This window comes from Homo sapiens, chromosome 10, assembly GCF_000001405.40.
Source record: "Homo sapiens chromosome 10, GRCh38.p14 Primary Assembly".
Classification (NCBI taxonomy): domain Eukaryota; kingdom Metazoa; phylum Chordata; class Mammalia; order Primates; family Hominidae; genus Homo; species Homo sapiens.
In genome coordinates, this window is record NC_000010.11 from 131,945,817 (window position 1) to 131,966,440 (window position 20,624).

Genomic DNA, 20,624 nt, shown 5'->3' on the forward strand with positions numbered 1-20,624 from the left:
AGAGTTCTTCCTGTTCCCCAAGTGCCTTTGCACAACTGGGGAGCCCTCCTTTGCTGGGGCCGTCCGAGTGTGGCTGTGTCAGAGGCTGCTGCTAATAAGTGGAACTCGAGGTCATGCTTCCCACAGGCTTATGGCTGTAGGGTGAGTGTGCTTTTGGCACCACCGAGAAGCGGGGTCACTTCTGCCCAGAGCCTGGGTGTCTCCTCAGAGGCTGCCAGCACTGAGTCCCGCCAAGAGCCACCCGTTGCCTCTGCCTCTGTGCGTGAGACCTGGGCTGAGGCCGCCAGCACACAGGAGGCCATTCCCAGCTGTTGGAATGAGCTCCTGTTCATGTTGAGCTTGGCTGGATTGGAAGCCACTTCCCTTAGCTGAAAGTCTAGCATTTTAATCCAGTGAGCTTTCAAGCTCCTTTTAGGTGAGGGAGGTTCTGGTTTTGTTTTTATTTTTAGCCATAAAGAATGGGCTTGACTTTATAGAGCACTGTAGTCAGCGTGTCCCAGTGTCCTGAAACATTGCTGACCCTTCCTCCAGTGCCAGCAGGTAGACACACGTCCAGTGACTTCCTCTGATGGGGAAGCCGCCAGTCAATCCCACCAGACTGAGCCGCTGCTCATGTGCAGCGGCGCCCCCAGTGCCTCGGTGGAATGTGCCCATGGACCGTGTGCAGCAGCCTTTTCGCCTGTTCTCTTTCCTGAGGTTGAGTGTGTTTTTAAGAATTCGTATTTCTACTAGAATTCCTGCGATGAGGATGAGTGTTTCGTAGCATTTGGCCTGTATCTTAAGCATAAAATTCTTGAGTAAATAATTTCAGATTCCAGTTCTATTTGTCATCAGAGTGATTTATTTGAGTAAATGCTTGGCGTCGGCACAGCTGGCTTCAAGTTAATTTCAGATGCTAAGCCGACAAACACAGGCTCCTGCATCAAGAAAAAAGAGAAAAAACCTAAAGCAGCTTCAGGTCAAGGAAGCACAAGCCAGGTGCAGTGGTGCTCACCTGTGGTCCCAGCTACCCTGGAGGTTGAGGCGGGAGGATCTTTCTGAAAATAGGAATCCAGTTTTGTCACAGTAGAGCTTGTGTATATTCAGTATTGGAGACAAACCTTGGCTGGCTGGCTTTGACCGGCGGGACCGTCTTGGTGGTTAAAATCAGGACCACAGCGTTGCCAGTCAAGGTGGTCACTCCTGCAGACCCACAAACTGTCGACCCTCCAAAAAGCAGGCAGTTTCTTAGAGGCACAGACCGCTGTGTCTGCATGACCATATAATGCTGTTTGTGTCTTCCTGTGATGTGTATGCGATAGAATTTCACGTGCTCGGGCCTGGTGCCATGAGGACGCGGAGACACTCCTACAGGAATGCGGTGGTGCTGAACCTGGGCACACATCAGGATGCCCCGAGGAGCTCCCACAGATGGCAGTGCCCAGGACCTTGCCTAGAGATTCTCATTCAGGGTCCGGGTGAGACTTGGGCGTCTACGCTTCTCATGCCCATCCCTTGTCCATAGCTGGTGCTAGAATGTCTTATCCGAAGCTCTTGCCCACGGAAGTCACAGAAGATCAGAAAACCTAGAGAATCAGAAAGATCAGAAGACCTAGTGTTGAGGCCAAGCCCTTCCAGAGTCTCTCTGAAGGGGCCACTTCCTACTTGAACTTGAAAATGATTTGTTCTCTGATTTTTAAACAGAAGCTGAAAACATTTTATTTTGTTTTTCAGTTTTTGAAGAGCCTGAAGATCCCAGCAGTAGGTCCTTCTTCTCAGAAATAATTTCATCCATATCCGATGTAAAATTCAGTCATAGTGGGCGGTACATGATGACCAGAGACTACCTGTCGGTGAAGGTGTGGGACCTCAACATGGAGAGCAGGCCGGTGGAGACCCACCAGGTCCACGAGTACCTGCGCAGCAAGCTCTGCTCTCTCTATGAGAACGACTGCATCTTTGACAAGTTTGAGTGTTGCTGGAACGGTTCGGATAGGTAAGGCCTGCGTGGAGATGAGCTGTCGCCCCAAGCTTGCTGGTTTCCGAGAGTGCAAGGTCAGTGAGGGAGGCGAGCTGTCCTCCAGCGTCAGAGGAGGACGCTCATAGGGTGTTGTTTTCCAGACCTTTTGATTGATGGATGATAGTATCAAGGTAGAGAAAATAGGATCTCTGAGCAAGTTTCTCACCTAGCTTGTCATTCCATTTATATTTAGACAAGAAGTATAGCACTAGGTACAGGCCGGCTATGTGTTAAATGCTTAGTGAATGATAGTGTATTACTTTTTATTATGCTGATAATGAGTGAAAAGGAAGGAAGTGGGGAAGTGATTCACCTCACTGGAATGACCGCGTTGCAGTCTGCCTTTCCTTCTGGAGAGAAGTAGATGAAAACACCCCAGAGCCACTGCCTGTCATGCCCAGACACAGCGTGGTCATGGCTGGTCTGAAACACCAATGTAATTTATAATGTGATGGTTCTAGTACCTTGATAATTTATTTTGTATACATTCTTTAAAGATAGCTATGATTAGTGTGGTTGAGAGTTACGTTTTTTTTATTATGCAAAAAGTTACGTTTCAGATGATGGAAGATTGTCTTGCACCATTTTTATATAGAATTTTTGTTCAGAATTCAAGAGAACAGAGGAGTCTATTGGCAATAAGTGATTGACTGGATATTCTGCAAAACCCTCTGGCATAAACACCTAGAAATGCTGGATATGATACAGCAGGTGTCTCTTCAGGTGCATAGTTGAGCTCACAGATAAGCAAGGGAAATCTCACAACGGCCAGAAACTAAGAGGGAGCTGAAACCAGAATGGCAGCCTCTGAAGGCGTCTATTCCGAGAGCAGCCTTGCAGCCCCGGCTGGCCTCAGGAGCATCAGCCCATAGCAGGAACCACTGCCCCTGTGAACAGCAGGTTATGGTGCAAAGCTGAAGCCTTGTCCCACACGAGGTGACTTGCTCATGGTGGCTTTTCCTGTATGTGCTTGGTAATTTTCAAGAGCTGAAGCCTTGGCCCACACGAGGTGTAGAGTTGGAACAGGGACCCCTGAAGATGGTGTCTCCCTCCACTGGCAGATAGGGTCCAAAGGGCAGTTTGTCTGTCTGAGGCCTTGCATGGGGGTGGCCAGCACTGCCCTGAGAAGTGGAAGCAAAACCTCCCCTCACAAGGGTTTGCAGTTTGGGTTTGTGCCAGCTACATCATGATCTGTAAAATCTCACACTGTGGAGCTCCTGCCTCCACGAGGGCTGTGTGCGGGCATCGGGAGGGACCGGCGTGTTTCCAGATCTGGCTTCTACTCTGTTTGCAGACTGACCTGCCAGCCTGTAGCATCTCACGGATGTTGACTGAAGACATGAGGTTCCCGGGTTCTCATGGCACAGCTGGCAGCATGAGCCTCTCGTTGGCCTGGGTTCCCCACGGGTGGACACTTGAGGCCGTGGCTGATGCACACTGAGCTTGGAGAACCCCACTGCTTTCACAGCGGGCAGTAAACACACCTGCACTTTGACTAGAAGAGACATGACCTCATTCCTCAAGGCCGCTTGCTGGAAGCACAGCCCTGAGAAGTGGCCCAGGTGGAGAGAATGGCATTGGCAAACTCCGTGAGAACACGCATGCTGGGTAGCTGCTGCCAGCACACCCAGGTCTCTCTGGATTTCGTCACATTAAAATCATCTAAACATGAGCTCACAGGTGAAAATTACCAAGCACATACAGGAAAAGCCACCGTGAGCAAGTCAGCAGAACCACAGCAGAACTGAACCTCCGAGAAGGCAGCTGTTGAGATCCTAAGTTAAAGAAGATAAACTAAGAATGCTTGAGATATTCACAGACTAGAGGAAGGAAACAGCCTGAACCAGGAGCCACATGACCGCTAAACGTGACCTGGAGACTGGAAAGGAATCAGAGGGAACATCTAGAAATGACAAGTATGATACATGACCGCCAAACATGACGTGGAGACTGGAAAGGAGTCAGAGAACATCTAGAAATGACAAGTATGATACATGACCGCCAAACATGACGTGGAGACTGGAAAGGAGTCAGAGAACATCTAGAAATGACAAGTATGATACATGACCGCCAAACATGACGTGGAGACTGGAAAGGAGTCAGAGAACATCTAGAAATGACAAGTATGATACATGACCGCCAAACATGACGTGGAGACTGGAAAGGAGTCAGAGAACATCTAGAAATGACAAGTATGATACATGACCGCCAAACATGACGTGGAGACTGGAAAGGAGTCAGAGAACATCTAGAAATGACAAGTATGACAGATGAAACTGTGTGGGTTTAGCAGCAGGTCCATTTTGGCTAAACAGATCTTGTATTAGTGGATGGAAAGGAAAACCAGAAGAAATGCGGGCTAAAGAGCCAAACAGAAAACAAGAGACACTAGGAACCGTGGAGGCCAGGGTGAGGCACAGCACACGTTTAAACAAAGTTTGGGGGTGTGAGGCTTAAAGTGACAGTGGCCAGCAATTTTCTCTAAATTATGAAAGCCTGAATACACAGGATCGGGAGCACAGCATCCATCCATCTCATAATGAAATTGCAGGACACCAAACGCAAAGAGAATATCTTAAATGCACCCAAGGAAAAAACGCAAATTACCTCTGAGAGCGGACACCGAGACTGAGACTCGGCTTTGCCACGGCCACAGTGGGAGCCAGAAGCCGTGTGACAGATCCAGCAAGTGTGACTCCTTACTCTCCACCGCCAGCTTAGAATCAAGCCTTGAAGTAGATGCTCGTTCAAGAATCTGCTTGTGATAAAGGCATTTTCAAATGGGAAACAATGTATCACAACAGGAAACTCAGTAGAGCGAGCTGTAAAGGGAGCCTGGCCCTGCAGAAAGGGGCTGAGACAGATAGGCAGAGGAACGCAGCCTGCAGGGAAGAGCAGTGCAAACTCTGAAGCTCTGCCACCTGGACGGCCTTAGTTATCTGTGTTTGGGGGAGAAAAATTAGAGCCCTCACCAGCCCCACACAATAAATAAATAAGCTCTGAGTGTTTCTAAGCCTAAGACATCTTTGTGAGCTCTGGAAACAAGGGCTTCTTTAAGAAGGCCCCAAAAGCCCAAGGAAAACATTAAGAAATTCAACTACATTAAATTTTAAACTTCTTTATATTGAAATTAAAAGTGAAAACAAAATCCACAAAAGGATAACGAACAGAGATTAAGTATCCAGAATAGGTGCAGAATTAGTTGTCAACAAGAAGGTGGCAAACAACTCAGAAAAGAGCAAAAACCATGAATGGGGTTTCGCAGAAATGGAAAAATAAATAGAAATGCTCATCCTTCTTAGTGATCAGCAAGTAAAGCCAGAGGGACGTCCTTTCATGCCCATCAGAATGATGATGGTTTGGGGGAGAGGGTGGAGACCAGTGGTCTTACCCAGTACCCTTCTTGTGACCTCCTTGGTGACATTCAGTCGGGTTGGGAGCTTCTTGCATGTTCAGACAAGAAAACGTGCTCAGATACCTGAAATAGCAAACAACTGGAGACAGCCCACAGGTGCATCATTAGAGGAATGGACAGGTAAGTTGTTCTCTATCATAACATATACTGAAAAGCAGTGAGAATCAATTATTAGAACTACATGGATCACCTAGGTGGATCTCACAAAGATAATCCACAAAGAAAATTCAGGAGGAATGCGTACGGTGCAATGACATACAACATGTTTAAGACATACAAGACGGTTTTGTTTTAAGAATCTGTAACTATTGGCCAGGCGCAGTGGCTCACACCTGTAATCCCAGCACTTTGGGAGGCTGAGGAGGGCGGATCACGAGGTCAGGAGTTCGAGAGCAGCCTGACCAACATAGTGAAACCCCATCTCTACTAGAAATACAAAAATTAGCCGGACATGGTGGTGCATGCCTTTAATCCCACCACTCAGGAGGCTGAGGCAGGAGAATCGCTTGAACCTTGGAGGTGGAGGTTGCAGTAAGCTGAGATTGTGCCACTGCACTCCAGCCTGGGCGATAGAGTGAGACTCTGTCTCAAAAAAAAACAAAAAAAATCTGTATACAAAATATAAATGTGTGTGGGGATGACACATATGTACTCTAGCAAGTGAGGACCCCAACTGGGGATGGGATAGGAGACCATCTTTCTTTCCAGAGTGGCAACACAGTGCAGGGGGGTCCCTGTCTTAGCAGTGACTTGCTGGTGTGCAGAGGGGTCACTCTCTTAGCAGTGACTTGCGGGTGTGCAGGGGGTTCACCACCTTACCAGTGACTTGCAGGGGGTCCCTGTCTTAACAGTGACTTGCGGGTGTGCAGGGGGGTTCGCTGTCTTAGCAGTGACTTGCGGGTGTGCGGGGGGGTTCACTGTCTTAGCAGTGACTTGCGGGTGTGCAGGGGGTTTCACTGTCTTAGCAGTGACTTGCGGGTGTGCGGGGGGGTTCACTGTCTTAGCAGTGACTTGGGGGGTCCCTGTCTTAGCAGTGACTTGCGGGTGTGCGGGGGTTCACTGTCTTAGTGACTTGCGGGTGTGCGGGGGGTTCACTGTCTTAGTGATTTGCATGTGTGGGGGGGGTTCACTGTCTTAGTGACTTGCGGGTGTGCGGGGGTTCACTGTCTTAGTGACTTGCGGGTGTGCGGGGGTTCACTGTCTTAGCAGTGACTTGTGGGTGTGCGGGGGTTCACTGTCTTAGTGACTTGGTGTGCGGGGGGGTTCACTGTCTTAGTGACTTGTGGGTGTGCGGGTGGTTCACTGTCTTAGTGACTTGCGGGTGTGCGGGGGGTTCACTAGTGACTTGCGGGTGTGCGGGGGGTTCACTGTCTTAGTGACTTGCGGGTGTGCGGGGGGTTCACTGTCTTAGTGACTTGCGGGTGTGCGGGGGGGTTCACTTAGTGACTTTCGGGTGTGTGGGGGTTCACTGTCTTAGTGACTTGCGGGTGTGCGGGGTTCACTGTCTTAGTGACTTGCGGGTGTGCGGGGGGTTCACTGTCTTAGTGACTTGCGGGTGTGCAGGGGGTTCACTTAGCAGTGACTTGCGGGTGTGTGTGTGGGGTTCACTGTCTTAGCAGTGACTTGCGGGGGGGGTCCCTGTCTTATCAGTGACTTGCGGGTGTGTGTGGGGGGTTCACTGTCTTAGCAGTGACTTGCGGGGGGGGTCCCTGTCTTATCAGTGACTTGCGAGTGTGCGGGGGTTCACTGTCTTAGTGACTTGCGGGTGTGCAGGGGGTTCACTGTCTTAGTGACTTGCGGGTGTGCAGGGGGTTTCACTGTCTTAGCAGTGACTTGCGGGTGTGTGTGGGAGGTTCACTGTCTTAGCAGTGACTTGCGGGGGTTCCCTGTCTTAGCAGTGACTTGCAGGTTTGCGGGGGTTCACTGTCTTAGTGACTTGCGGGTGTGCGGGGGGTTTCACTGTCTTAGCAGTGACTTGCGGTTGTGTGTGGGGGGGTTCACTGTCTTAGCAGTGACTTGCGGGGGGGTCCCTGTCTTAGCAGTGACTTGCAGGTATGCGGGGGTTCACTGTCTTAGTGACTTGCAGGTGTGCGGGGGTTCACTGTCTTAGTGACTTCCAGTTGTGCGGGGGGTTCACTTAGCAGTGACTTGCAGGTGTGTGGGGGGTTCACTGTCTTAGCAGTGACTTGCGGGGGGTCCCTGTCTTAGCAGTGACTTGCAGGTGTGCGGGGGTTCACTGTCTTAGTGACTTGTGGGTGTGCGGGGGGTTCACTTAGTGACTTGCAGGTGTGCAGGGGGTTTCACTGTCTTAGCAGTGACTTGTGGTTGTGTGTGTGGGGGTCACTGTCTTAGCAGTGACTTGCGGGTATGCGGGGGTTCATTGTCTTAGTGACTTGCGGGTGTGCAGGGGTTCACTGTCTTAGTGACTTCCAAGTGTGCGGGGGGTTCACTGTCTTAGCAGTGACTTGCGGGTGTGTGGGGGGGTCACTGTCTTAGTGACTTGCTGGTGTGCGGGGGTTCACTGTCTTAGTGACTTGCGAGTGTGCGGGGGGTTCACTGTCTTAGCAGTGACTTGCGGGTACATGGATAGTCACTGTATTTTTTATTCCTCTTGATATATTTCAAATATTGCAAAATACCCTTAGATTACATATCCCCAAGAACATCTAAAAGCGTTCCCAGTAACATTTGCTTAGTCCATTCACTCTCAAAAACACGCCAGTCTTCCTACCTGGAAACTTCTGTTGAGGGATGCGATGAAGGGGAGTGAGGCGTTTCAGTGCTGCCTCAGCCCAATCCTGATTCTCCGTGTGGCAGCGCCTTCTTGTGTTCTAGGTCGCCCCACAGAACCAGTTATGTGCTTACGCCTGTGTCTCTGTCTGTGCTGTTCCCTTCCTGGGCCAGCACCAGGCTGCTGGGCAGCGCCCTTGTTTGCAGTGTGGAAACACCCACTCTGGGGCTGGCACTATCTGTCGAGAATTTAAAAGTGATCATAAATCTGTATGAAAGCTGATGTGCTTTTCGTTATTACCATGCACCAGCAATTCCAGTCAGTGTCGGCCATACATCATCTGTCGTCTGTGTTCTGAATAATGGTTACTGTTGAGTTTTAATAACATAAATGTAAGCTTCAGATTCACACATTCTTATTACTTACCCTTTCGTAAACATTGTGTTTTATGTGGAAACTAATTTGGGGAACCCCCAGTCAATGGCCCTCACGTGCCAACTTGGCTGCATACCCCTGTTCCAAGACCACGTGCACAGCTTGGCATTGCTGGAGGGCGCTGGGCACACCTTGTGTCTCCCGCCTCTGTGGCGCTGTGGGCTCCTGGATGGAAGCAGGAGATGGGAAATAAACATGGATCGCTGAATGCAGTTTCTCTTCTCTGAGTTCGTCTTTTTTTTTTTTTTTTCCCCTGCTTTGAAGTTTTAGACAAGGTCAGTCAGACACTAGGTATTTGCCAGCAGCCAGGGTCAGTGCTGGGCCATGGAAGGGAAGCGGCCCGCTTCTTTCTCATGGCACCTTGAAGACGCGCCAGCGTGAAAGGCCTCTCACCGCGCATGACCATGGGGGCAGGACGTGAGGGCGCGGGTTAGTGTCAAAATAGGAAGAGGAGGCGAGCTTCAAGGACGGCTGGAGAAACCAGAAGGGCATTGTTTGAACACATCTTTCATCAGAAACTGGACTCATGAAGCCATGGGTCAAATCATGGCAGCGTTTGCATCATTCAGCTATTTTTCTGTCATTTTTGTAGAAAATGTAAGATTGCAGAGGTTTTTACCAGTATTATGAAGTTATATCATGAGGATGTGTGCGGTAGTAGAATTTTTCGACAGCAGAGACATTTGAAAGCCATTACAGTTGATCTTGAAGAAACAAAAGCATGGACGGTATTGTATTGTCTGGAATGTGTGTGAAATGCAGTTGTTCTAAAATTCTGCCACACTTTGCCCAGTGGATTTTTACTATTTCTATCCGTTGCCTCATTTGAAAGAAACTTTTTGAAATTAATAGAAAAGCAGTTTAACTCCAAAGAAACATTGACAGATATGACTAGTAACTGTTGAACATGATAAGGATTATGTTCAGGTCATTATGGATCATTGACAAATTGCAGAACATAAGGCTTAAAAATAAACTGTGCTGTTATTCATGAGTGAGATAAATAGGTGGGGTTGTTTCAAAAAATACACTAATGTTAAAAGTGTGACTCCATTATTTTGTTTCTCCTGTGACATGGATTCTTACTGACATGATTATAGATAAAGCTCGGTACACATTTTCACTGCATTTCTCTTCTGCCCATTGTGATTGATCATTCCTGATTTCTGAAAGTAACTGGGTTGTGGGGGAGGGTGGCGTGCGCTGTGCACCCCAGGGGTGGGGTCTGAGTCCTTGCTGCCGCTCCCCCCACTGAGGAGTGCTGCTGTCTGCTCTTGTTTTGAACAGCGCCATCATGACCGGGTCCTATAACAACTTCTTCAGGATGTTTGATAGAGACACGCGGAGGGATGTGACCCTGGAGGCCTCGAGAGAGAGCAGCAAACCGCGCGCCAGCCTCAAACCCCGGAAGGTGTGTACGGGGGGTAAGCGGAGGAAAGACGAGATCAGTGTGGACAGTCTGGACTTCAACAAGAAGATCCTGCACACAGCCTGGCACCCCGTGGACAATGTCATTGCCGTGGCTGCCACCAATAACTTGTACATATTCCAGGACAAAATCAACTAGAGACGCGAACGTGAGGACCAAGTCTTGTCTTGCATAGTTAAGCCGGACATTTTTCTGTCAGAGAAAAGGCATCATTGTCCGCTCCATTAAGAACAGTGACGCACCTGCTACTTCCCTTCACAGACACAGGAGAAAGCCGCCTCCGCTGGAGGCCCGGTGTGGTTCCGCCTCGGCGAGGCGCGAGACAGGCGCTGCTGCTCACGTGGAGACGCTCTCGAAGCAGAGTTGACGGACACTGCTCCCAAAAGGTCATTACTCAGAATAAATGTATTTATTTCAGTCCGAGCCTTCCTTTCCAATTTATAGACCAAAAAATTAACATCCAAGAGAAAAGTTATTGTCAGATACCGCTCTTTCTCCAACTTTCCCTCTTTCTCTGCCATCACACTTGGGCCTTCACTGCAGCGTGGTGTGGCCACCGTCCGTGTCCTCTCGGCCTTCCTCCGAGTCCAGGTGGACTCTGTGGATGTGTGGATGTGGCCCGAGCAGGCTCAGGCGGCCCCACTCACCCACAGCATCCGCCGCCACCCCTTCGGGTGTGAGCGCTCAATAAAAACAACACACTATAAAGTGTTTTTAAATCCAAACAGAAGTATTGTCTTTTTATTTAATTTTATTGCATAGAATGAAGTTATGCAGGGTTCTTCTTTGGAACTAACTGTTTGAGAAATGTGTGTCCTTCTTTGGCAGCGTGGGGGTATGTGTGCAGCATTTCTGTCCCCAAGCTGCTGCCCGCTGTGTTTCTGTAGAAGTAGCCCATCAGATACACCAGGTAAGGTCTGGGAAAAGCCAGAACCGAGGCCACCTCTGAGAAAGAAAATTGCAAGGAAGAACCAAAATTGCTGCCATCCAGTAAGCCTGGTTTAAAGTAGCTTCAAATTCACTACAGTTGAAGAAATACGTGCTTGCTTTCTAAGGCTTTTGAAAAAGCACTTTGGGGAAAGTATACTTTTTAAACATTGCTAAAATTACATGCATGCTAAATTTCATCCTGCATTTCAAGCCAGCAAAATTAAGCAATTTTAATTACACGATGCCACCAGTACGTTGGTTTATTTTCAAAGTAGGATCTTTGATACCAGAAATCAAGATTTTCCAAGACAAATAATACAGAGCTGTACCAATGCTGAGTGACCAGAGCTTGCTTCCGTGGGATTTAACACACGCCCACTACGTGTCCCCGAGGGGAGTGGGGAGTCGGGCTCCCGTGCCCCTGTGGAGATGGAGGTGTGTGCTGATCCCCCGTCCGCCTGTGGAGATGAAGGTGTGTGTTGATTCCTCCTGCTGCTGTGGAGATGGAGGTGTGTGCTGATCGCCCGTCACCCTGTCTAGATGAAGGTATGTGCTGATTGCCTGTGCCCCTGTGGAGAAGGAGGTGTGTGCTGATCCCCTGTGCCCTGTGGAGATGGAGGTGTGTGCTGCTCCCTCGTGCCCCTGTGGAGATGGAGGTGTGTGCTGATCCCCCATCCCATCCCCCTGTCTAGATGAAGGTGTGTGCTGATTCCTCATGCCCCTGTCTGGATGAAGGTGTGTGCTGATCCCCCGTCCCCCTGTGGAGATGAAGGTGTGTGCTGATCCCCCGTGCCCCTGTGGAGATGAAGGTGCGTGCTGATCCCCCATCTCCCTGTGGAGATGAAGGTGTGTGCTGATCCCCATCCCCCTGTGGAGATGAAGGGATATGCTGATCCCCTGTCCCACTGTGGAGATGAAGGGGTGTGCTGATCCCCCGTCCCCCTGTGGAGATGAAGGTGTGTGCTGATCCCCCATCTCCCTGTGGAGATGAAGGGGTGTGCCAATCCCCCGCGCCCCTGTGGAGATGGAGGCGTGTGCTGATCCCCATCCCCCTGTGGAGATGAAGGTGTGTGCTGATCCCCCATCCCCATGTGGAGATGAAGGGGTGTGTTGATCCCCTGTCCCCCTGTGGAGATGGTGTGTGCTGATCCCCGTCCCCCTGTGGAGATGAAGGTGTGTGCTGATCCCCCATCTCCCTGTGAAGATGAAGGGGTGTGCTGATCCCCCGTGCCCCTGTGGACATGGAGGCGTGTGCTGATCCCCCGTCCCCCTGTGGAGATGAAGGTGTGTGCTGATCCCCCATCCCCATGTGGAGATGAAGGGGTGTGTTGATCCCCCGTCCCCCTGTGGAGATGAAGGTGTGTGCTGATCCCCGTCCCCCTGTGGAGATGAAGGGGTGTGCTGATCCCCCATGCCCTGTGGAGATGGAGGTGTGTGCTGATCCCTCGTGCCCCTGTGGAGATAGAGGTGTGTACTGATCCCCTGTTCCCCTATCTAGATGAAGGTGTGTACTGCTGATCCCCCGTCCCCCTGTGGAGATGAAGGTGTGTGCTGATCCCCCATCCCCCTGTGGAGATGAAGGGGTGTGCTGATCCCCCGTCTTCCTGTGGAGATGAAGGTGTGTGCTGATTCCTCATGCCCCTGTGGAGATGGAGGTGTGTGCTGATCCCCCATCCCCCTGTGGGGATGAAGGTGTGTGCTGATCCCCCATCCCCCTGTGGAGATGAAGGGGTATGCTGATCCCCCGTCCCCCTGTGGAGATGAAGGTGTGTGCTGATCCCCCATCCCCCTGTGGAGATGAAGGGGTATGCTGATCCCCTGTCCCCCTGTGGGGATGAAGGTGTGTGCTGATCTCTTGTCCCCCTGTGGAGATGGAGGTGTGTGCTGATCCCCCATCCCCCTGTGGAGATGAAGATGTGTGCTGATCCCCCGTCCTCCTGTGGAGATGAAGGTGTGTGCTGCTTCCTCGTGCCCCTGTGGAGATGGAGGTGTGTGCTGGTCCCCCGTCCCCCTGTGGAGATGGAGGTGTGTGCTGATCCCCCGTCCCCCTGTGGAGATGGAGGCGTGTGCTGATCCCCCATCCCCCTGTGGAGATGAAGGCGTGTGCTGATCCGCCATCCCACTGTGGAGATGAAGGCGTGTGCTGATCCCCCATCCCCCTGTGGAGATAAAGGTGTGTGCTGATCCCCCATCCCCCTGTGGAGATGAAGGCGTGTGCTGATCCGCCATCCCACTGTGGAGATGAAGGCGTGTGCTGATCCCCCATCCCCCTGTGGAGATGAAGGCGTGTGCTCATCCCCCATCCCCCTGTGGAGATGAAGGCGTGTGCTGATCCGCCATCCCACTGTGGAGATGAAGGTGTGTGCTGATCCCCCATCCCCCTGTGGAGATGAAGGTGTGTGCTGATCCCCGGTCCCCCTGTGGAGATGAAGGTGTGTGCTGATCCCCCGTCCTCCTGTGGAGATGAAGGCGTGTGCTGATCCCCCGTCCCCCTGTGGAGATGAAGGCGTGTGCTGATCCGCCGTCCCCCTGTGGAGATGAAGGCGTGTGCTGATCCGCCATCCCCCTGTGGAGATGAAGGCGTGTGCTCATCCCCCATCCCCCTGTGGAGATGAAGGCGTGTGCTGATCCGCCATCCCACTGTGGAGATGAAGGTGTGTGCTGATCCCCCATCCCCCTGTGGAGATGAAGGCGTGTGCTGATCCCCGGTCCCCCTGTGGAGATGAAGGTGTGTGTTGATCCCCCATCCCCCTGTGGAGGTGAAGGTGTGTGCTGATTACTAATCCACATGGGCAAGAACAGGATGTCCGTCATTACCCTGAATCAATGCTAACACAGTGCCACTTGAGTTCACATTAAGTTAGAAATTGAGAATCTAAAGGTACCTTTATTTTAACTAAAAAATAATTTATATACTGTATATTGATTGTGACACAATTTACAAAGTCTGAGGTGTGGAACAGTTATTTAAGCATTAGTCAACCCTGGTCCTTAAGACAGTTCTAGTAAAATGGGATTGTATATATTTGTTCAACTATTTTGACCAAAAAGTTCAATAAATTTTAAATGTTTAACTGGATTTTCACTGCGTATTTGGACACCCTTTTCCATCTTCCTCTAGAATGTATTTCCCACTAAATAGCCCACCTCCTCCACCCCCAGGGCAGAGCAGAAGGTGCAGCCCAGGCGGGTCCCGTGTGTAGAGGTTCCACGTGGCACTGCTGCTCCCGTGGAACTGCCACTGCCTTGAGGTCTGCGGCGCACGTTCCCTGGAGGTGTCGTCACCTAGCTCTGGGGCGCCTGCGGGGGAAGCCACCTGGCCAGCAGTCCTGTCCGTTTCTGTGGGTTCTCCCCAGTGCAGTCTTGATGTTCTGAGAGGCGCTGGCAATTCCACGCACCTATGTCCGCAAAAAGCAGGATCCATTCACTTTAGAGAAGTGCCCTCAACAGGCGCGGAGGAAGACGTGCCCTCAACAGGTGCGGAGAAAACTTCTCTTTCCTGCTTAAAGTAGAACAGTGTCATCAGCTTCTGAAGGTTAATGCTGAGCACAGTTTTCATTGATGAGGATTCTGGGCCCGTGGTTCAGGTGGAGGTTTGCTGCTCTCTGGGCTGATGACCCGGATTCCATGAACACACTTTCTTCGTAAGTGGATTTAACGTGCCTTTTTTGAAAGAAAAATGGAGCTCCTATGAACCAGTTTATGATGCCCTCGTGGACAGACTCAGTCTGATTTTGGAGGCCACACGACTGGCAGGTGTGGCTGGAGACTGCAGCATGTGCGTGTCTGTCTGTCCTGTGTGGAGCCAAATCATCACCATCAGTGCCAGAAGCCTCCCAAAGCCCAGTGCCATGGGATTGGTGTGTGTCCTGCTCCCGGCCGGAAGAAGCTGGCCCTGGATCCGCCTGGCCCGGCTGCTCTGCATCACCCCTTTGCTTGCTTGGGAGGAAGAGTGGGTCTGGGGCTGCGGAGGCTCTCCGGGTGGCCTTAAGCTTGCTTTCTCCTAAACCTGTGCTGTGCGTCCTTGGCCAGCGGCTTTGGCATCAGCCAGGGAGTGGGGGAGTGAGGTCAGAGCCAGCAGGAGTCCGGGCTGTGCTGGGTAGCAGAGGTCGCATCTTCCCAGAGCTGCAGGCAAAGGGACAGGATGGGCTTGCTGTATGAGGGCGTGGCTCTGCTCGTCCTGGGCTGGGCCAGGGGTGCTGAGTGGGGCTGTAGCCGCATCTTCTGTGGCGAGCTGTCCTGTCGTTGCTGTGCTGGGATCGCCAAGGGAGAGGGACGGAAGCTGTCCGTGAGCTGGTGAGACAGCAAGCCAGGAATCCAGCCACAGGTGGGGAGACAATGCAGCTCAAACTGGTGGAGCTGCAAGGGCCCACAGACCACCTTCAGACGCTGCCCGCGGCCGACGCTTCCCCAACCCCTGGGAGAGGCCTGGGCCTGGGGGCCTGGCGGGCCCCGCGCTCTTCCCTTGGGTCCCGTCCTCCGAGGGGGCTGCCTGCCAAAGCCAAGTTCAGCAGTCCCCGACAGTGGGCTTCTCTGCACAGGTGGTGTGCAGGGGTGGGTGGAGTGTAGACCAGATGTGAGTAAAGGCAGCACCCCCAGCCCCACAGGGCTGTCACAGCTCAGGCCCTGCAGAGCTGTGGGGTTTGGCTGCTGTGGGTGGCAACCCCTCCTAAGTGCCTGCTGCAGGTGGGCGCTGGGCCAGGGCTTTCCCTACAGCCACCCTGGCCATGGGTCACAGACGCACACACCACAGCACCCGGCTGGGCACTGGGGTGATACTGGGCTTGGCTTTGAGCTCCGTGCCTCTGTGCCCCATACGCCCCTCAGATCTCTGGTGACAGTGCGGGGCTGCCTACAGGACACCCAGGGCTCCTTGATCTTTTAGGAACTGCGGCACCCCCGAAGCTGTGACAGGTGCAGAGGCGCTGCCGTCCTGGGCCGGGCCTCACCTTCCGCCTTGTGTGCTCTGGCGCCAGCACCCAGTCCCAAGGGCACAGCGGCTGCGACTTGCCTCTGGCCAGGGCAGGTGGTGGTGTCATACCCAGGACGGGAACCCACACTTGATGTCCTCCAGGGTTTTTTTTTTTTACATTATCTTAAGGACTGACAGTCTCCCACCCCATCTGCTCCCATCTGTCCCTAATTTCATGCGCCTCCGCCTGAGTTCCTGCACGCATTTCCTGAATAAACACACCCCTGTGCCAGTCAGAACCCGCGGGGGTTTTGGAAGTGAGAGCCCAGCAAGGCAGCTGGCCAGGGGGCGGCACTGCCCTCCGGGGAGCACCGGTGCCCGGGACTCTGCTTCTGAGGCTGGCCTGTACGATGATTTTGTATAAATATCTCCAATCAGAACCTTTTTAGTGTATTTCTTAATATAACAGAAACTGGTGTCTTAAAATACAAGACTAGCTGCCCGGTGATGACACCAAATCGAGCAGCGGGGCTCGCAGTGGCCAGGATCCCCGACAGTGGAATGCTGAGGTTAGAACTGAAACCGCGTTTCGTGAAGTCATCATCACGCACGGGAAACAGGTTTGGGGTGAGGGGCGGTCCAGTCCTAAGAAAGCTCTCCAGCTCCACGCGGTCACCTTCACTCACTCACCAGATGCAGATTGCAAAGAGGCGAAACCTGTGATTTCTTTAATAATCACAGTCTCCATCTGGTGAGTGGTTAAAGTCACGTTCCGTTTTCATTTTCCTTTTGGTGGCTGGGAAATGCTTCTGATAGTAATAGTTTTCGATTCTGCAACTCCCATTGTCTTAGGCTCTGTAGCTCTCCATTTTCTTCTTATCCTTGGGACGTGTCTTGGACGTTTCTAACAGGCTGTGTTCCTGGACCTGAAACTCAGCTGGAGACTGGGTCCCTTGCAGATTTGCAGGGACCGTCCATCGCTGGTGTGTAGATGCAAAAACAAAACACTGGCACCACCCAGTCAGAACTGGCAGGGGCTGCCTGCACTGGGCACCAACCCCGCAGATGGCCAGGCCCAGACCACGTGACTGCCTGCTGGGCTCCACCCCCAACCGCAGCCCAGCCAAGGCAGAGAGGTGGCTGCACTTCCGCCGATCAGAGGTCCAGATAGAGCTCCGTCTGCTTGCCTTGGAGTTGTTAGAAAATTATCTTTGGGGCTAGGCATGGTGGCTCACGCCTGTAATCCCAGCACTTTGGGAAGCTGAGGTGGGCGGATCACGAGGTCAGGAGTTCAAGACCAGCCTGGCCATCATAGTGAAACCCCGTCTCTACTAAAAATACAAAAAATTTAGCCAGATGTGGTGGCGGACGCTTGTAATCCCGGCTACTTGGGAGGCTGAGGCAGGACAATCACTTGAACCCAGGAGGCGGAGGTTGCAGTGAGCCGAGATTGTGTCGCTGTACTCCAGCCTAGGCGACAGAGTGAGACTCCATCTCAAAAAAAGGTTGGGATGTCTTTTTAAGTGTGTCTGTTCCAGGAGGATGGGAAACACTAATTTATGATTCCAAGAACTTTCAGGGGAAATTTGTTATCCAAACCTAAATATCTGAACACAGTGTAACCCTGGTTCTTACTAGAAGTGTTTTTTCTTAAAGAAGCTGTGAACTGGTCATACGTACAGCGTTCACAAGTCCCCAGAGGAGGTGACAAAGTCTTGCCCTTGCCTCTGGCCCCCTGGATCATTTTGGATACTTGTTTCTTGGGGGGTTACTTCCAGTTTTTATACAAACACAAATAAGATTCACTCCTGTTTCCCGTTTCTACACATCGGGTAGCATCCTGTGCATGCCGTGGGGCGCCTGGCTGTCCTCACTGCGCGCGTCTGGGCGGGCTGTCCACACCGTCCGTGGAGCCTCACTGGCTGCTGCACGGTGGCATTGCCACACGTCGGACGCGGCTTCTGACGCCACAGGGCTGTGCGCTGAGGCTCTGCCTTTCTAACAAGCCCCCAGGCAGCGCGCTGACACCCCAGTCCAGGGACCACACTTTTTTTTTCTTTTTTAGTAAAAAGGTATCTTCTATTTATTTTCCTTCTTAGCGTTGTACTTTGAATAATTTTGAACAGGTTTTGGAAATCCTGCAGCCTTCACCCAGCCCCCTAACAATGGTGTGTCCTGCAGCCTCATGGGGACTCACACCGTGCAGGGCTAGTGGCCTCACCTGCACCTGCCTTGGCACCTGCCTGGCTGTCTCACGAGTGTCGGTTTTTCCTGTCCAGGGCCCTCCCAAAGCGCCCACGTTGTATTTCGTTGTCTCCCTGCCTTCCAGTCTCTGCTGCAGTCTTTCAGGACCCGAGCACTTGGGAAGTGTGGGCAGGCATTTTGTAGACTCCCCCTCAATTTTGGTTTGCCTGATATTTTCTCGTGATTAAACTGCAATTATGCATTCTGGCAAGAACACGGAAGAGATCTGGCCTCCTCTGCATCAAATCAGGATGTAGGTGGTGTCTACCAGGTCTCTTCACTGTAGAGTTACTGTTTTCTTTGGTGTAATGAGTATCTTGCGGGGACACAATGAGAATATCCTCTCAAGAACCCACTAACTTTAGTTTCCGTCGACGAATCAGCAGTTATTGGTATTTGCCTAATGGTGACTTTGTGTTTTTTTTTTGTTTTGTTTTTGAGACAAATAACCGTCACCACCACCGGGACCCAGGGCTGGCCGTGCACACAGCTGTTGGAGGATCATTGCTTCCAGGCCCTTTTGTTGAGTGGCACTTGGAAAGACACACTCCCCCATGCACAGCTCCGGCTCAAACCGCGACTCACTGCTAACCCAAACCCAGCAAGCCCACGGCTTCGTGCTAGCCTTCCTTGTGACTGTCCAGCAGTGGGAAATCAGGCTGTCATTACGTGTAACATCACACAGTGTTAATATGCCTGTGGTTTCAGGATTGCCAACCCATGGAAAGCAAATTCACTAGCAAGAGTTTACTATGTTTTTTTTTTTTTTTTTTTGTCACTTTAACCTTGCAGTATCCACCCCGAATGGTGTTCTCTGGTCCTTTAGCTCACCAGCCCACCCCTTCAGTATGGCTTTATTATTTATAACAGTGAGGTTCCCTTACTGTAGGTATTCCATTTGGGATTCCCCCCCAAAACAGTTATTCATTGAATTTGGCAGCATCTGAAGCATTAATGTGGTTCTAAGTCTGTTACACAAAAAGCTGCACTCCTTCCACCCTCTTCCGTTTTCCATCTCCACCTCTTTCCACCCCGGGGTAACCAATCTCATTTAATTCTGCCTTATTCACCCTAATTTTTTTGCACAAATGAGCAGTTATGTGTTTTTCTTAGCTTTTTTCACATAAAGTATACTATATATATATTTAAATAATCCTGTATTTTGTCCTCCCATTTGCAGTTTGGACGGGGCTCAGCAGGTTCAGTTCATCTGTGCTCCAGACTGTCAGCGAGGGCATCTCTCCTGGCACTGGAGGATCCACAGAGGGGGCCACATGGCTGGCAGGGGTGCTAGCTGCTGGATCCTATCTGACCAGGCCTCTCTACTGAGCAATGTGGCTTCTTCCCAGCACGGAGGCTGGGCGCCAAGAGCATGCACCCGCAGAGACAGGAAGTGGCGGCTGCCGGTTTCTTAAGGCTGGGTGGGCCCAGAAAGTGGTGCTGCACCACTGGCATCACTCCCTCCTTATCCTGTTGGCCAGTCCAGAGCTGAAGGGGCACAGACCCCCATCACTCATTAAGGGCTGTCAAAAAAACTAGGGGGCTTTTATTTTTTTGAGACAGAGTCTCGCTCTGTCGCCCAGGCTGGAGTGCAGTGGCACGATTTTGGCTCACTGCAACCTCCACCTCCCGGGTTCAAGCAATTCTGCCTCAGCCTCCCAAGTAGCTGGGACTACAGGTACGCCACCACACCCAGCTAATTTTCTTGTATTTTAGTAGAGACGGGGTTTCACCATGTTGGCCAGGCTGATCGCGAACTCCTGAGCCCAGGCAATCCACCCGCCCCAGCCTCCCAAAGTGCTGGGATTACAGACGTGAGCCACAGCGCCTGGCCGGGGGCTGTCTTCAAACTGCTACAGGTTTCCTGTTTCAAGGAGCTGCTTCCAAATGTTCTTTCCTTTCTGCTAGGGAGACATCTATTTTTGCACTGTGTTTTACTTCACATACCCTGGAATCCCTTCTCATCGCGAGCTCTTCCCCTTGGTGCATGAGTGGCAAAGCACCGGCCCTGCAGGGCAGCACTGTCGTTCTCTCGAGTCTCTATGCGTGGGCACCTCGGTTGCTTCATATATTTTAATACAATCATGTTATAATAAATACTGCGTATTTAGTTATATCCTTGTGCATGTGCATGTAGAAGTTTCTAGGTCTGTCTCCAGAGTGAATTCCTAGAAGTGGTTTGTGTGTCCAAAGCATAGATGCATGGCTGGAGTTTTTTGAGGTGTTGCCGACTCCTCTCTCTTGCAGCCATGTGCATTCCTTCTAAGCAACGTGTCGGCGTCACGTTCCACACCCTAAGCAGATGTGTATGGGCAAATGTCTGCATCAGAGTAAATATCAGGTAAATAGTGGCCAAGTGGCCAATGTTTTTATATCAGAATCACTTAATGTTAATTTTATAAACTTAATGATTAAAATGAGTGTTATGGGCAGTTATTTGTATTAACCACTGTAGAAAAGAAGGGTTATTTACAGAAGCTATTCAGAAGGCACACTGCCATTATCCTACCTCAAAGATAAAAACATTCA

General features: G+C 51.3%; 1 protein-coding gene across 12 annotated transcripts in view, besides 1 other annotated feature; it reads left to right on the forward strand.

The window, feature by feature from the left end:
• Positions 1–20,624, forward strand: part of PPP2R2D (protein phosphatase 2 regulatory subunit Bdelta) — a 70,526-nt gene that overhangs the window by 44,809 nt on the left and 5,093 nt on the right. For 8 of the 12 annotated variants that reach the window (NR_033191.3, NM_001291310.2, NM_018461.5 and 5 more), the window contains 2 exons: positions 1,714–1,975; positions 9,868–14,018. Coding sequence is in view for 11 of the 12 variants with exons in the window: in NM_001291310.2 (NP_001278239.1) it covers positions 1,714–1,975; positions 9,868–10,147 (542 nt within the window). In the remaining variant the exon portion in view is untranslated. Of the gene's footprint in view, positions 1–1,713; positions 1,976–3,293; positions 4,589–9,867; positions 14,019–20,342; positions 20,513–20,624 lie in introns of those variants that run through there. The other 4 variants (XM_006717914.4, XM_047425473.1, XM_047425472.1 and 1 more) reach the window with 3 other exon arrangements.
• Positions 2,667–3,168: an enhancer, noted in NCBI's record as "H3K4me1 hESC enhancer chr10:133761987-133762488 (GRCh37/hg19 assembly coordinates)". NCBI's record gives its function as "activates a minimal SCP1, AML or CMV promoter by ChIP-STARR-seq in naive H9 embryonic stem cells {active_cell/tissue: H9 hESC(naive)}" and the evidence as "EXISTENCE:reporter gene assay evidence [ECO:0000049][PMID:30033119]".